This window comes from Homo sapiens, chromosome 11, assembly GCF_000001405.40.
Source record: "Homo sapiens chromosome 11, GRCh38.p14 Primary Assembly".
NCBI classification, from domain to species: domain Eukaryota; kingdom Metazoa; phylum Chordata; class Mammalia; order Primates; family Hominidae; genus Homo; species Homo sapiens.
This window is the reverse complement of record NC_000011.10, coordinates 21,788,831-21,804,946: the sequence shown is the minus strand read 5'-3', so window position 1 is coordinate 21,804,946 and position 16,116 is coordinate 21,788,831. Positions and strand designations below refer to the sequence as shown.

The following is a 16,116-nucleotide window of genomic DNA, read 5'->3' as shown; positions in this document are numbered from 1 at the left end:
GACAGGTTTATCAGGGGTTTCTGCTTATGCTTCTTCCTCATTTCCTCTTGCTGCTACCATGTCAGAGAGGCTTTCACCTCCTGCCATGATTCTGAGGCCTCCACAGCCACGTGGAACTGCAAGTCCAATTAAACCTTGTTTTATTTCCAGTTTTGGGTATGTTTTTATCAGCAGTGTGAAAACAAACTAATACAGTAAATTGGTACCAGGAGTGGGGTGTTGCTGAAAAGATACCCAAAAAATGTGAAAGCAACTTTGGAATTGGGTAACAGGCAGAGATTGGAACAGTTGAAGGGCTCAGAAGAATACAGGAAAATGTGGGAAAGTTTGGAACTTCCTAGAGACTTGTTGAATGGCATTGTCCAAAATCCTAACAGTGATATGGGCAATAAAATCCAGGCCAAGGTGGTCTTAGATGGAGATGAGGAACTTGTTGCGGAACTGGAGCAAAGGTGACTCTCTCTTCTTATGTTTTAGCGAAGAGAGTGGTGGCATTTTGCCCCTACCCTAGAGATTTGTGGAACTTTGAACTTGAGAGAGATGATTTAGGGTATCTGGCAGAAGAAATTTCTAAGCAGGAAAGCATTCAAGAGGTGACTTGGGCACTATTAAATGCATTCACTTTTATAAGGGTGGCAGAGCATAAAAGTTTGGAAAATTTGCCACCTGACTATGTGATAAAAAAAGAAAAACCCATTTTCTAGGGGGAAATTCAAGCTGGCTGCAGAAATTTTGCATAAGTAGCAAGGAGCCTAATGTTAATCCCCAAGACAATGGAGAAAATTTCTCCAGGCCATGTCAGAGACCTTCATGGCTGCCCCTCCCATCATAGGCTTGGAGGATCAGGAGAAAAACCTGGTTTCCTGGGTCTAGCCCAGGGTCTCCATGCTGCGTGCAGCCTAGGGACTTGGTGTTCTGTGTCCCAGCTGCTCCAGCTGTGGCTGAAAGAGGCCAACATACAGCTTGGGCTGTGGCTTCAGAGGTTGGAATCCCCAAGACTTGGCAGTTTCCACGTGGTGTTGAGCCTGTGAGTGCACAGAAGTCAAGAATTAAGGTTTGGGAACTTCCACCTAGATTTCAGAAGATGTATGGAAATGCCTGGATGCCCAGCCAAAAGTTTGCTGCAGGAGTGGGGCCCTCATGGAGAACCTCTGCTAGGGCAGTACAGAAGGAAAATGTGAGGTTGGTGCCCCCACAAAGAGTCCCAACTGGCGCACTACCTTGTGAAGCTGTAGGAAGAGGGCCACTGTCTTCTAGACGCCAGAATTGTAGATCCACTGACAGCTTGCACCATGTGCCTGGAAAAGCCGCAGACACTTAGTGCCAGTCCAAGAAAGCAGCCTAGAGGAAACTGTACCCTGCAAAGCCACAGGGGCAGAGCTGCCCAAGACCATGGGAACCCACCTTTTGCATCAGCATGACCTGAATGTGAGACCTGGACTCAAAAGAGATCATTTTTGGAGTTTTAAAATTTGACTGCCTCGCTGGATTTTGGACTTGCCTGGGCCCTGTAACTCCTCTGTTTTGGACAATTTCTCCCATTTGGAATGGTTGTATTTATCCAATACCTGTACCCCCATTGTATCTAGGAAGTAACTAGCTTGCTTTTAATTTTACAGGTTCATAGGCAGAAGGAACTTGCTTGGTCTCAGATGAGACTTTCGACTGTAAACTTTCGGTTAATGCTGAAATGAATTATGATTTTGTGGGACTGTTGGGAAGGCATGATTGGTCTTGAAATGTGAGGCCATGAAATTTGAAGGGGCCAGGGGTGGAATGATATGGTTTGGCTGTGTCTCCACCCAAATCTCAACTTGAATTGTATCTCCCAGAATTCCCACGTGTTGTGGGAGTGACCCAAGGGAAGGGAATTGAATCATGGGGGCTGGTCTTTCCTATTACTATCACTCATAATAGTGAATAAGTCTCATGAGATATGATGGGTTTATCAGGGTTTTCTGCTTTTGCTTCTTCTTCATTTTTTCTTGATGCCACCATGTAAGAGGAGGCTTTTGCCTCCTGCCATGATTCTGAAGCCTCATGTGGCCATGTGGAACTGTAAGTCCAATTAAACATTTTTTTCCCAGTTTTGGGGATGTCTTTTAAGCATGAAAATGAACTAATACAGAGATCCTCTAGTATACAAATAATCCTTGCATGTTAGCCTGGATTAATTGGTTGTTTTTGCACAGTTCAAATGTAGAGATTAAATATACAGTAATGCTTCACTTAACGATGGGGATATGCTCCAAGAAATGTGTCATTAAGAAATTTTGTCATTGTATGAATATCATAAGAGTGTACTTACATAAACCTAGATGGAATAGCCTATTACACACCTAGGCTATATGGTAGACCCTATTGCTTTTAGGTTACAAACCTGTACAATGTTAGTGTACTGAATACTGTAGGCAATTGTAACACAATGGTAAGTATTTGTCTATCTAAACATAGAAAAGGTACAGTAAAAATATATTATAACCTACAAAGCCACCATATATGCAGTCCATCATTGACCAAAATGTCATTATGATGTGCATGGCTGTATACATATTTCTGAAACCAAACCAAAGGTTTGCATGAGAGAGTGCTGGGATCCATTAACTGTGTCCATAAATAATCCAGGACAGGAGAGAGATATCAGACAAGCCATATATTTGCTATTTCTTGATCCTAGGCAACCTAATTTTTAAGAAGGTAATTGAAATTGACATGGATAAAATGTCACTTCCAAGACTACATGGCTAGTTATCGTGTAACTTAATTTTCCCTAAATCTCACCAGCCTGTGCATTACAATTATTTTGTGGTGTACTATGTAAGAAAATATTTTCATATTATTTCATATTTTTCTACTTTGGCCATCTCATCAAGGGCTAGTCCCACAAACCCTTAGATTGGAGCTCTTTATCAGTGCTGCCAGTTCTACTGATGCCTTTATTAAAATTACTGCTTTCCCTCTGCAAAGCTGCCAGATGCCCTAGTGTTTCCTTTTAACTTTGCTTGTGTCAGGACCACAGTGGTTTCTTATCTCTCCCTGGTATCTGTATACCAAATTACCACCCCTGCCCCTGCTCTCTCTACAACAACAACAACAACAACAAAGCAACAACAAGAAAAAGCCTGGAGTTGCCATCACTAAAAATCTTCCAAACTACCATCCCCAAATTCTTATAAATTTTTATAAATATCACCTGAGTAGTAGAGGAACGTCTCAGTAGACTCCAAGCCAATTTCCCGCTAAATGCTCAGCTGAGACCATCTTGGCTATATTAGCACAGATAAGAAATACAGTCATGCCTCCTGTGCCTTTACATCATACATTTTTCTATAAAAAGCTCTGTGACTGAGCATGTAACTATGGATGTCAAAAGAAAAAATTAGCAAAAAAAATTAAACATTTCTTCAAAATGGAAACAGAAAATGGCTGACCAGTATATTGGAATACTGAATTTTTGGTACCCCTACATTTTCAGACTCTCTCTCTCTCCCTCTCTCCTTCAGAAATCTTTTTGTTGAGAGAGAACCTGATTTTCAGAATTAAATGTCTTCCCCCTTTTTAGTATGTTATCCATGCAATTATTAAATATTTCAACAACTAGCTTAAAATCATTTTCAAAGAGATATTGACTGTTGTTTGTGCTTTTGTGTTAGCTTGGAGAGATGGCTTACCATAGAGTTTTATAACTGAGTGCCTTTTTACCAATGACAAAGACAAAGCAATAAAAAGTATGTTTATTATGTTTCAAAATTATTTTGCTGATTCCTGACTCCTCTAAAGCAACAAGGTCTAGGTTTTGGTTATCCTTGTCTGATCCATTCAGTCTCTCAAAGCTGAAGAACAATCTGAGGACTCTTTCTCAAAGATCTTTCTCAACATGCTGGGTTACATGGACTTAGTTTTAACTCAACCTGCTTTTTGTCAGTAACTTACAGAATATAGGAAAACTCTATGATCTTGTTCTGTCAGCCATTTATTTTCCACAGTCTGAGACTCCTCTCACTCAGCAGGGGAGGAATGGAGTTCCAAGATCAAGGATACTTCACTTCAGTTTCTGTTATCTCTCTCAAGAGTGAATCATAGAAAATATCTACTAAACTCTGCTTTTCATGTCTTCTCTTTGCAACACCAATTTGCTGCTTTATAATTATTCATCCAAAGTTTTAAAGTTAGGAGATAATCTAGCCTAAAATAAAACATCAAATTTCAAAATCTCAGTAATACTTTGAAAAAAGAACGGCTTCATGAAAACTGAGTAAAATGGATTTTGAATGACAATAAAGATATAAATTTTTGAAGCAATTAACAGACAAAAATATGAACATAAATATTTTTACTTAAAAATCAGGTAATATGCAGGATCATTTTTCAAATATACTAAAAATAACCAATTATCTTCAAATGTTAATTTTTGTAACTGCCTGCTACAGTTATAAAGGAACACAATAGGCCCCGGTGTGTGATGTACCCTAAAACTTAAAGTATAATTTAAAAAAAAGGAACCCAATAATATCTGGGAATAGGAAATTAGAAATTACACAGTTAAGTAATTTAAACTATATTCTATTAGGTAGAATTTTTCTCTACTAATTGATACTGTCCTTGGCTAGAGAATTAAATTTTAATCTCAAAATTTATAAAAGCCAACTTTTGTCTCTAAGTTTGATAGTGAACTTCTGTTTCCATGCTTAAATAAAAAAGTAAATCTATATAATTTAAATGGCTCTGAAGTAAAACCATTCTTTTTTTTTAACAAAAGTTGCCTAAAATTAAATAATTGTGCCAAGTTTGCTTCTTGAAATCAATTTCAGTATACTAATAAAAACCTGAGATAGTGACATTTTATCTTTTGGAAAATACAACTATGCACGTAAAACAATGAAGACAATGACACTAGAGTCAAAGCATAAATAAAACTTGTGCCTGGATAACCTATTTTCTCCTTGATTTGTACTCACTTGCAACATCTCAGAAGCACAAAAGGCGGTCATTCCAAATGAAAAATGCGAAAAGACCGACTATGGAAACAGGATTTGGAATAGTGCAAAGAAATGGAGAAGAAAGATACTGAAACTGGGTCACTGACATAATGAGCATGCTTGTTCCTTTTTTTTTTTTTTTCGTCGCCAGGAAGAATGAATTGGAGGAAAGTGAATATTTTGATGGCATTAAGGAAGAAGCTGAGCTTTGCATGTATTTCTCTGCTGGCTGGCTCCTTATCCTACAATGGACTGCCCACAAATCAAATAATAATCAGATACGATTTGATTTATGCTTCAAATCAAATCAGATACCTTGAAGGAAAAGTACTACTTAAAGACTTGCTTGATTTTTAAACTAAGCAACGTGACTGTGAATGTTTTGTCACTTAAGGAGAAAAAAAAAATACCATCGAAATCCAATATTTGCATATCTTGAAGATAAATATATTCTACTATAAAAAATATAATCAAGCTAAGATGCTGTAAATACACACAAATCAACACAATATTCTCATGGAATCTTGTAGATTAGAATTTACCAACCCTTCAGATTGTAGAAGGATTAAGCTCGTTAAATTTAGAAAACCCGAGAATAAATATCTCATGCACTTTACTTTCTAATGTAAGCTCATTTTTATAGCCAATTTGATCCTCTTGATGCTCTGCTCTTAAACCTTGTCTTTTTGCCCTCTTCAGGAATCCTGCATCTTGAACTATCCCTCTGATTATTTTCACTTATCCAGCTGCTGCTTACTCTTCGAGACATGACTAAAAATATTATCTTTCCCCGAAACCTTTTCTGACCTGTCTAGCACATATTCACTTGTTTTTTAAGTTAATTCCTGCAGCCTTCATTCTCTGTACTACTCTTCAAACACTTTTATATTTTTGGTGTACAGTATTCAATAAAATTATCTCATTGTAACTTTAACTACCCAAAACTCAGCTCAGTGACTCTAACTGATACTGAAATCCACTGAATGATAAAAATGTTCTTTGAAGGAAATATAAAGTTTTAAATTATTGGAACCACTATGTCAAATTTTAGATGTTGCCTCAACTTCTCAGGATTGAGCAGACTCCAAGAAAACAAGGATTGCCCTGCTTGAAGAAATGATGTGAAGCAAAAATTTTGTTTCACATTGCTTATAAAATATGTTCAGACTCCTGAGCATGCAATATGGCATTCAAGGACCAGAAAGAAATCCCATGTGGATAGAGCAGAGTGAATAAGGGAAAATCTAGGAAAGAATAAGTCCAGAGAGTCAGCATAAAACTAGGTTGTGTGGGCTTTGTAGGCCAATGAAAGCATGTTGGCATTTTCTAAATGAGATAAGCCTACATTGGAGCAACTACAAATATAAAGCAAATGTTAATAGAACTGAAGGAAGAGATAATAGTAGAGGACTTCAAAAACCCATTTTCATTAATGGATATACCATCCAGAGAGAACATCAGCAAAGAAACATCAAACAAACTACACTCGAGACTGAATGGACCTAACATTCCATCTAGCAGCTGCAGATTACACATTCTTCTCAATTCTTCATGGAACATTCTCCAGGAGAGATCAGACGTTAGGCCACAAAGCAAGTCTTAACAAATTTAATGAGGCTGAAATTTTATCAAGTATCTTTTCTGACCACAATGGTATCAAACTAGAAATAATAACAAAAGACACTTTAGAAATTTGACAAATACATGGAAAATGAACAGTAAACTACTGAACAACCACTGACTCAATAAAGAGATTAAAAGGGAAGTTAAAAAACTCTTGAGGCAAATGAAAATGGAAACATACGAATCTTCTAAAAAGGAACTTTATAGCAATAAACACATCCAAAAAAATGAAACATCTCAAATAAACAACCTAATGTTGCACCTCAAGGAACTAGAAAGAACAAGAATAAGCTAAGCCCAAACTTAATGGAAGGAAGGAAATCATAAAAATTAGAACAGAAATTAATAAAATAGAGATTATAATAGCAATGGAAATACAGAGAGTTGTTTTTATAAAAAGATAAAATCAACAAACTGAAAGCTAGACTAAATAAGGAAAGGAGAGAAGACATAAAAAATCAGAAATTATCAAGAATACATTACAACTTATACAACAAAAATACAGAGGATCTTAAAAGACTATTACAAAAAAGTATATAGCAACAATACAGATAATCCAGAAGAAACTGATATATTTATTGACATATACAACCTACCAAGATTAAATTATGATGAAATAGAAAGTCTGCACAGAACAATAATGAATAAGTACATTGAAATGGTAATAAAATATATCTCATTAAAAAAAAGCCCAGAACCTGATGGCGTTACTGCTGAATTCTACCAAACATTTAAAAAAAAAAAAAACTTTTGCTAATTATTTTCAAATTATTTCAAAAAAAATTGAAGGAGAGAGAATACTTCCAAAGGCATTTTATAAGACCAGTCTCACCCTAATGTGAAAGCCAGAAAAGGATACTATAAATAAGGAAAACTATAAGACAACACCCTGATGAACATCAGTGCAAAATTTTTCAACTAAATACTAGCAAACCAAATTTAACAACACATTAAAAATATCATTCACAGTGATCAAGTGGAATCCATTCCAAGAATGCAAGGGTGGTTCAAAATATACAAAATAATAAATACAATACATCACATTAACATAATGAACTACAAAACCCATATCATCATTTCAGTAAATACAGAAAAATCATTCGACAAAATTCAGCATTCTTCCACAATAAAACTCTCAACAGATTAGGTACAGAGGAAATGTTACTAAACACAATAAAGGCCATATATAACAAATCCATAGTGAAAATTCTCAACACTCAAAAGTTGAAAGCTTTTCCTTAAGGTCAGAAATGATATAAGGATACCCACTCTTACCAATTCTTTTCAACATAATACTGAAAGTTCTACCCAGAGCAATTAATCAAGAGAAAGAAATAAGAGACATTCTAATAGAAAAAAAAAAGAGGTAGAATTGTTTCTGTTTACTGATGATGTGATCTTATATATAGAAAATCCTGGGGACTCCACACACACACACCAGAAAAACCTGTTAGAACTAATAAAGAATCCAGTAAAGTTATAGGCTACAATATCAACACACAAAAAATCAGCAGTGTTTTAATACACTAACAGCAAACTATCTGAAAACTAATTCAAGAAAACTATCTCCTTAACAATAGCTACAAAAAAACTAGGAATAAATTTAACTGAGAAGGTGAAAAATATTTATCTTGAAAACTATAAAACTATGATGAAAGAAATTGAAGACACGAATGAGAAGACATTTCATGTTCAGAAATTGAAAAAAAACTAGTATTGTTAAAATTTCCATATTACACAAAGTGATCTACAGATTTAATGCAATTACATCAAATTGCCAATGACATTCTTCACAGAAATATAAAAATACATTCTAAAATTCTTATGGAACCACAAAGACCTTGAATAGGTAAAGTAATCTTGAGCAAAAAGAATAATCTGGATGCATCACACTACCTGACTTCAAAATATACTACAAAGCTATCATAACCAGAATATCATCAAATACTGGCTTCAAAACTGAAACACAGACCAAGAAAACAGAAGGGATAGCCCAGGAATAAATCCATAAATTTATAGCCAACTGGTTTGAAACAAAGGTGCCAGGATTACAAAATGGAGAAAGAAGAGTCTTTTCAATAAATGGAGTTGGAAAAACTGTATATCTAGATGTAGAAGAATAAAAACAGACATAATCTCACACCATATACAAAAATCAACTAAAAATGGATCATAAAATTAAATGTAAAACCTGAAAGTATAAAACTACTACAAGGAAAAAATAGGGGAAAAAGTCTGTGGCATTGGCCTGGCAATAATCTTTTGGATATGATACCAAAAGCAATGGCAATAAATACAAAAATAGACAAGTGGGACTACATCAAATAGAAAGCTCCCGCACAAAAAAAAAAGAAAAAAAAAATCAACAGAGTGAAAAGACAACCTATGAAATGGAATGAAATCTTTTTAAACCATTGATCTGATAAAGGGTTAATATCCAACATCAGGGACTCTCACAGTACAGGAGACAAAAAAGGAAATAATTCAGTTTTTAAAATGAGCAAATGGAATGAATAAAATTAATGAACTCTTCTCCAAAGAAAACACAAATGGCCACTAACTGTAGCAAAAGGTGCTCAACATAACTAATTATCAGCAAAATTAAAATTAAACCTGTAGAATATTACATCACACCTGTTAGGAGGGCTTTCATGCTTAAAAAATAACAAAAGAGAGTAAGTGTAGACAAGGATGTGGAAAAAAAGTAATTCTTCACACTTTTGGTGGAAATGCAAATTAGTACAGCTATTACGGAAAACAGTATGGAGACTCCTCACCAAATTAAAAATAGAACAATAATGTGAATCTGTGATCTCACTACTATATTTGAATCCAAAGGAAATGAATCATTATTTTAAAAAGAGATCTGCATTACCATTTTTACTGCAGCATTAATCACAGTACTCAGTATATGAAATCAACTTAAGTAGCTATCAATGGATGAATGAATAAAGAAAATGTAGCATGTATGTACAATAAAATATTATTCTGCTAAAAGAGAAGGAATTCCCCCCATATGTGATAACATGTGGAACCTAAAGGACATTATTTGTTGGGAAATATGTCAGGTACAGAAAGACAAATACTGGATGATCTCACACTTATGTGGAATCTAAAAAAGCTGATCCAATATAGGTAGAGAGTAGATGGGGCTTACTAAGAGCTGGGGGAAGGGGATGGGGTGATGTTGGTAAAGTATACAAAATTTCAGTTAATTAGGAACAATAAGTTCAAGAGATCTATTGTGCAATATGATGACTATGGTTAAAAACAATGTACTGTATTCTTAAAAAATGCCAAAAGAGTAGACCAAAGGGTGGAACAAGATGGCCGGAAAAAAGGCTACACTGATCTTCCCCCAGCAAGGACACCAATTTAACAACTATCTACACACATAACAAAGCACCTTCATAAAGACCAAAAATCAGCTGAGTACTCACAGTGCCTGGTCTTAACTGTATGTCACTAAAAGAGGCATCGAAGAGGCAGGAAAATCAGTTTTGAATCACCAGCACCACTCCTTCCCAGCTTCTGGCAGCAGGTACGTGGTACAGAGAGAGTTTCTGTGCTTTGGGGAGAGGAAGAGGCAAAAACTGTGAGGCATTGAACTCAGTGCTGCCCTGTAGGGAAAACAGACAAAACTCAGCTAACATTTGCCCACAGTAGGAGTATTTAAACCCATCTGCCCAAGTCAGAGGGGTATCTCTGATCCCAGTGGTCACAATTTGAGATCCTAAAAGTCCCGCTACCTCTGGCTAAAGTGCTCTAGGGCCACAATAAACTTAAAAGACACTCTAGGACACAAAGACTGCAACTTCTGGTGAGTCATGGTGATGAATTTGGCCCAGAGCCAGTGGAATTGGGGGAACAGGTGAACTACTGAGATACTACCTGGAGCAGCTAAGGGAGTGCTAGCACCGCCCCTACCCTAACTCAGGGTGCACAATTCATGGCTCCAAAAAGGATCCCTTCCTTTCACTTGAGAAAAGTAGATGGAAGAGAGGAGAGGACTTTGTCTTGCATGTTGGATACTAGCTCAGCCACAACATAATAGAGCATGAGGCAGAGTTGCGCATTCTCCTTTCCAGGCCCTAGCTCATGAATATTGTAGACACATGATGGGCCAGCAAGGAATGTGCTGCCTTGAAGAGAAGGACCCAGTTCTGGCAGTAGTCATCACTTGCTAACTGAAAAGTCCTTGGGTCCTGAATAACCCACAGCAACACTCAGGTGCATTCTTGAGTGCCTTGGGTGAGACACTGAGACTTGTTGGCTTTAGACGAGACTCAGCACATTCCCAGCTGTGGAGGCTACATTTAAAGCAGTGTGTAGAGGGAAATTTATAGCACTAAATGCCCACAAGAGAAAGCAGGCAAGATCTAAAATTGACACCCTAACATCACAATTAAAAGAACTAGAGAAGCAAGAGCAAACAAACTCAAAAGCTAGCAGAAGGCAAGAAATAATTAAGATCAGGGCAGAACTGAAGAAGACAGAGACACAAAAAACCCTTAAAAAATCAATGAATTCAGGAGATGATTTTATGAAAAGATCAACAAAATGGATAGACTGCTAGCAAGACTAATAAAGAAGAAAAGACAGAAGAATCAAATAGACACAATAAAAAATGATAAAGGGGATATCACAATGATGCCACAGAAATACTAACTACCATCAGAGAATACGATAAACAACTCTACACAAATAAACTAGAGAATCTAGAAGAAACGGATAAATTCCTGGACACACACACCCTCCCAAGACTAAACCAGGAAGAAGGTGAATCTCTGAATAGACCAATAACAGGCTCTGAAATTGAGGAATAATTAATAGCCTACCAACCAAAAAATATCCAGGACCAGACGGATTCACAGCCAAATTCTACCAGAGGTACAAAGAGGAGCTGGTACCATTCCTTCTGAAATTATTCCAATGAATAGAAAAAGAGGGAATCCTCCCTAACTCATTCTATGAGTCCACCATCATCCTGATACCAAAGTCTGGCAGAGACAACAAAAAAAGACAATTTTAGACCAATATCTCTGATGAAGATCGATGTGAAAATCCTCAATAAAATACTGGCAAACCAAATCCAGCAGCACATCAAAAAGCTTATCCATCACTATCAAGTTGGCTTCATCCCTGGGATGCAAGGCTGGTTCAACATACGCAAATCAATAAACGTAATTAATCACATAAACCACATGATTATCTCAATAGATGCAGAAAAGGCCTTTGACAAAATTCAACACCTCTCTTCATACTAAAAACTCTCAATAAATTAGGTATTGATGGAACATGTCTCAAAATAATAAGAGCTATTTATGACAAACCCACAGCCAATATCATACTGAATGGGCAAAAACTGGAAGCATTTTCTTTGAAAACCGGCACAAGACAAGGATGCCCTCTCTCACCACTCCTATTCAACAGTGTTGGAAGTTCTGGCCAGGGCATTCAGGCAAGAGAAAGAAATAAAGGGTATTCAATTAGGAAAAGAGGAAGTCAAATTGTCCCTGTTTGCAGATGACATGATTGTATATTTAGTAAACCACATCGTCTCAGCCCCAAATTTCCTTAAGCTGATAAGCAACTTCAGCAAAGTCTCAGGATATAAACAACGTGCAAAAAACACAAGCATTCCTATACACCAAAAACAGACAATACACCAATAACAGACAAACAGAGCCAAATCATGAGTGAACTCCCATTCACAATTGCTACAAAGAGAATAAAATACCTAGGAAACCAACTTACAAGGGATGTGAAGGACCTCTTCAAGGAGAACTACAAACCACTGCTTAACAAAATAAAAGAGGACACAAACAAATGGAAGAATATTCCATGCTCATGGATAGGAAGAATCAATATCGTGAAAATGGCCATACTGCCCACGGTAATTTATAGATTCAAGGCCATCCCCATCAAGCTACCAATGACTTTCTTCACAGAATTGGAAAAAACTACCTTAAAGTTCATATGGAACCAAAAAGGAGCCCATATTGCCAAGCCAATCCTAAGCAAAAAGAACAAAGCTGGAGGCATCACGCTACCTGACTTCAAACTATACTACAGGCTACAGTAATCCAAAGAGCATGTTACTGGTACTGAAACAGATGTATAGACCAATGGAACAGAACAGAGGCCTCAGAAATAACACCATACATCTGCAACCATCTGATATTTGACAAACCTGACAAATACAAGGAATTGGGAAAGGATTCCCTATTTAATAAGTGGTGCTGGGAAAACTGGCTAGCCATATGTAGAAAGCTGAAACTGGATCCCTTCCTTACAACTTATACAAAAATTAATTCAAGATGAATTAATGACTTAAATGTTAGACCAAAACCTTAAAAACCCCAGAAGAAAACCTAGGCAATATCATTCAGGACATAGGCATGGACAAGGGCTTCATGACTAAACCACCAAAAGCAATGGCAACAAAAGCCAAAATAGACAAATGGAATCTAATTAAACTAAAGAGCTTCTGCACAGCAAAAGAAACTACCATCAGAGTGAACAGGCAACCTACAGAATGGGAGAAAATTTTTGCAATCTACCCATCTGCGAAGGACTAATATCCAGAATCTACAAAGAACTTAAACAAATTTACAAGAATAAAACAAACAACCCCATCAAAAAGTGGGCAAAGGATATGAACAGACACTTCTCAAAAGAAGACATTTATGCATCCAACAGACACATGAAAAAATGCTCATCATCACTGGTCATCAGAGAAATGCAAACCAAAACCACAATGAGATACCATCTCATGCCAGTTAGAATGGTGATCATTAAAAAATCAGGAAACAACAGATGCTGGAGAGGATGTGGAGAAATAGGAATGCTTTTACACTGCTGGTGAGAGTGTAAATTAGTTCAACCATTGTGGAAGACAGTGTGGCAATTCCTAAGGATCTAGAACTAGAAACACCATTTGACCCAGCCATCCCATTACTGGGTATATACCCACAGGATTATAAATCATGCTGCTATAAAGACACATGCACACATATGTTTATTGTGGTACTATTCACAATAGCAAAGACTTGGAACCATCCCAAGTGTCCATCAATGATAGACTGGATTAAGAAAATGTGGTACATATACACCATGGAGTACTATGCAGCCATAAAAAGGACGAGTTCATGTCCTTTGTAGGGACATGGATGAAGCTGGAAACCATCATTCTCAGCAAACTATCGCAAGGACAGAAAACCAAACACCACATGTTCTCACTCTTAGGTGGGAACTGAACAATGAGAACACTTGGACACAGGGCAGGGAACATCACACACTGGGGCCTGCCAGGGGGTGGGGAGCTGGGGGAGGGATACCATTAGGAGAAATAACTAATGTAAATGACAAGTTGATGGGTGCAGCAAACCAACATGGCACACGTATACCTATGTAAGAAACCTGCACATTGTGCATATGTACCATAGAACTTAAAGTGTAATAATAATAATAATAATAATAATAATAATAATAATAATAATAAAAGAAAAACGCAATTGACATCCTGGAAAGAATGCATCAGAATCTTTTAATAGCAGAATTGATAAAGGAGAAGAACAGATTGGTAAGCATGAAGACAGGCTATTTGCAAACACACAGTCAAAGGTGACTAAAGAAAGAAGAATAAAATAAAAAGCACATCTGCAGGATTTAGAAAATAGCTTTAAAGGGGCAAATCTAAGACTTATTGGTCTTAAAGAGGAGGTAGAGAAAGAAACAAGGGTAGAAAGATTACTCAGAGGGATAATAACATAGAACTTCCCAAACCTAAGGAAAGATATCAGCAATCTTATAGTGCAAGTGCAAGACAATTATAAAACATAAAGTAGATTTAACACAATGAAAACTACCTCAAGGCATGTAGTAATCAAACTCTCAGAGATCAAGAACAAACAAAGGATCCCAAATGCAGTAAGAGAAAAAACACAAATTACATACAAAGACCTCTAATATGTCTGGCAACAAACTTTTCAGTGGAAACCTTAAAGGCCAGGTGAGAGTGGCATTACATATTTAAAGTGCTGAGGAAAAAATACTTTTATCCTACAATAATGTATCCAGCAAAAATATCCTTCAAACACACAGGTGGTAAGTACACATGAAATCACAGAATACTGTGACACTTTGACCGTGGTATGTAGATTACTCTTATCATAAGTAGAAAGACTAAAAGATAAAGCAATCAAAAATAATAACTACGACAACTTTTTAAGACATAGACAATATAGGAAGATATAAACAAAAACAACAGCAAGTTTAAAAGTAGAAGATAAAGTTAAGGCAGAGAGTCTTTATTAGTTTTCTTTCCGCTTTTTTGTTTATGGAAACAGTTGTAAGTTGTTATTGGCTTAAAATAATGGGTTATACGATAGTATTTGCAACCCTCATGGTAACCTCAAAACATAACAGATACACACAAAAAAAGCAAGAAAATAAATCATATCACCAGAGGAAAACACCTTCACTAAAAGGAAGATAGGAAAGAAAGCAAGGAAGCGAGAGAGCAAGGAGAAAAGTAAGGGAAGAGACAGAAAGAAAGGACTACAAAGCAACCAGAAAACAAAAAATTGGAAGGAGTAAGTTCTTACTTATCAATAATTATATTGAATGTAAATGGACTAAATTCTCCAATCAAAAGACATAGAATGGCTTACTGAAGAAAAAGAAAGACCTATTAATCTGTTCCCTACAGGAAACATCCTTAACCGATAGAGACACATATAGAATAAAAATAAAGGGATGGAAAAAGATATTCTATGCCAATGGAAACCAAAAAAGAGCAAAAGCAGCTATACTTACATCAGACAATATAGATATCAAGACAAAAACCATAAGATGAGACAAAGAAGGTCACTATATTATGATAAAGGGGTCAATTCAGCAAGAGGATACAATTTTAAATATATATGCCCCAACAGTGGAACACTCTGACATATAAAGCGAATATTATTAGAGTTAAAAAGAGAGATGCACCCTGTATTAGTCCATTCTTACACTGCTGTGAATAACTACCTGATATTGGGTAATTTATGAAGAAAAAAGTTTTAATTGATCCACCGTTTCACAGGCTGTACAGGAGGCATGGCTGGGAAGGCCTCAGGAAAATTACAATCATGGCAGAAGGTGAAGGGGAAGCAGGTACGTTTTCACATGGTGGCAGAAGAGAGAGAGAGTGATGAGGGAAGTGCTGCATACTTTCAAACAATCAGATCTCATAAGAACTCACTCACTATCACAAGAACATCAAAGGTAAAATCTGTCCCCATGATCCAATCACCTCCCACCAGGTCCCTAACCCAACACTGGGGATTAAAATTCAACATGAGATTTGGTTGAGGACAGAGTCAAACCATATCAGACCTTAGTACAATAATAGCTGAAGACTTCAGCATCTCATATTCAGCATTGGATAGATCTTTCAGACAGAAAATCAACAAACATTTGACTTAATATGCACTATAGACCAAATTGATATGATAGATATTTATAGAAC

General features: G+C 36.5%; 1 long non-coding RNA gene across 4 annotated transcripts in view, besides 1 other annotated feature; it reads right to left on the bottom strand.

The window, feature by feature from the left end:
* Positions 1–16,116, bottom strand: part of LOC102723370 (uncharacterized) — a 366,694-nt gene that overhangs the window by 314,953 nt on the left and 35,625 nt on the right. For 3 of the 4 annotated variants that reach the window (XR_007062619.1, XR_931110.3, XR_007062621.1), the window contains exon 2: positions 10,043–10,170. This is a non-coding gene — a long non-coding RNA (uncharacterized LOC102723370). Of the gene's footprint in view, positions 1–3,718; positions 4,187–10,042; positions 10,171–16,116 lie in introns of those variants that run through there. The other variant, XR_931109.3, reaches the window with a different exon arrangement.
* Positions 5,282–5,451: an enhancer, noted in NCBI's record as "experimental_20562 CRE fragment used in MPRA reporter constructs". NCBI's record gives its function as "activates a minimal promoter by MPRAs in K562 erythroleukemia cells, with activity observed for the non-introgressed 11:21821127 variant allele {active_cell/tissue: K562}" and the evidence as "EXISTENCE:reporter gene assay evidence [ECO:0000049][PMID:34662402]".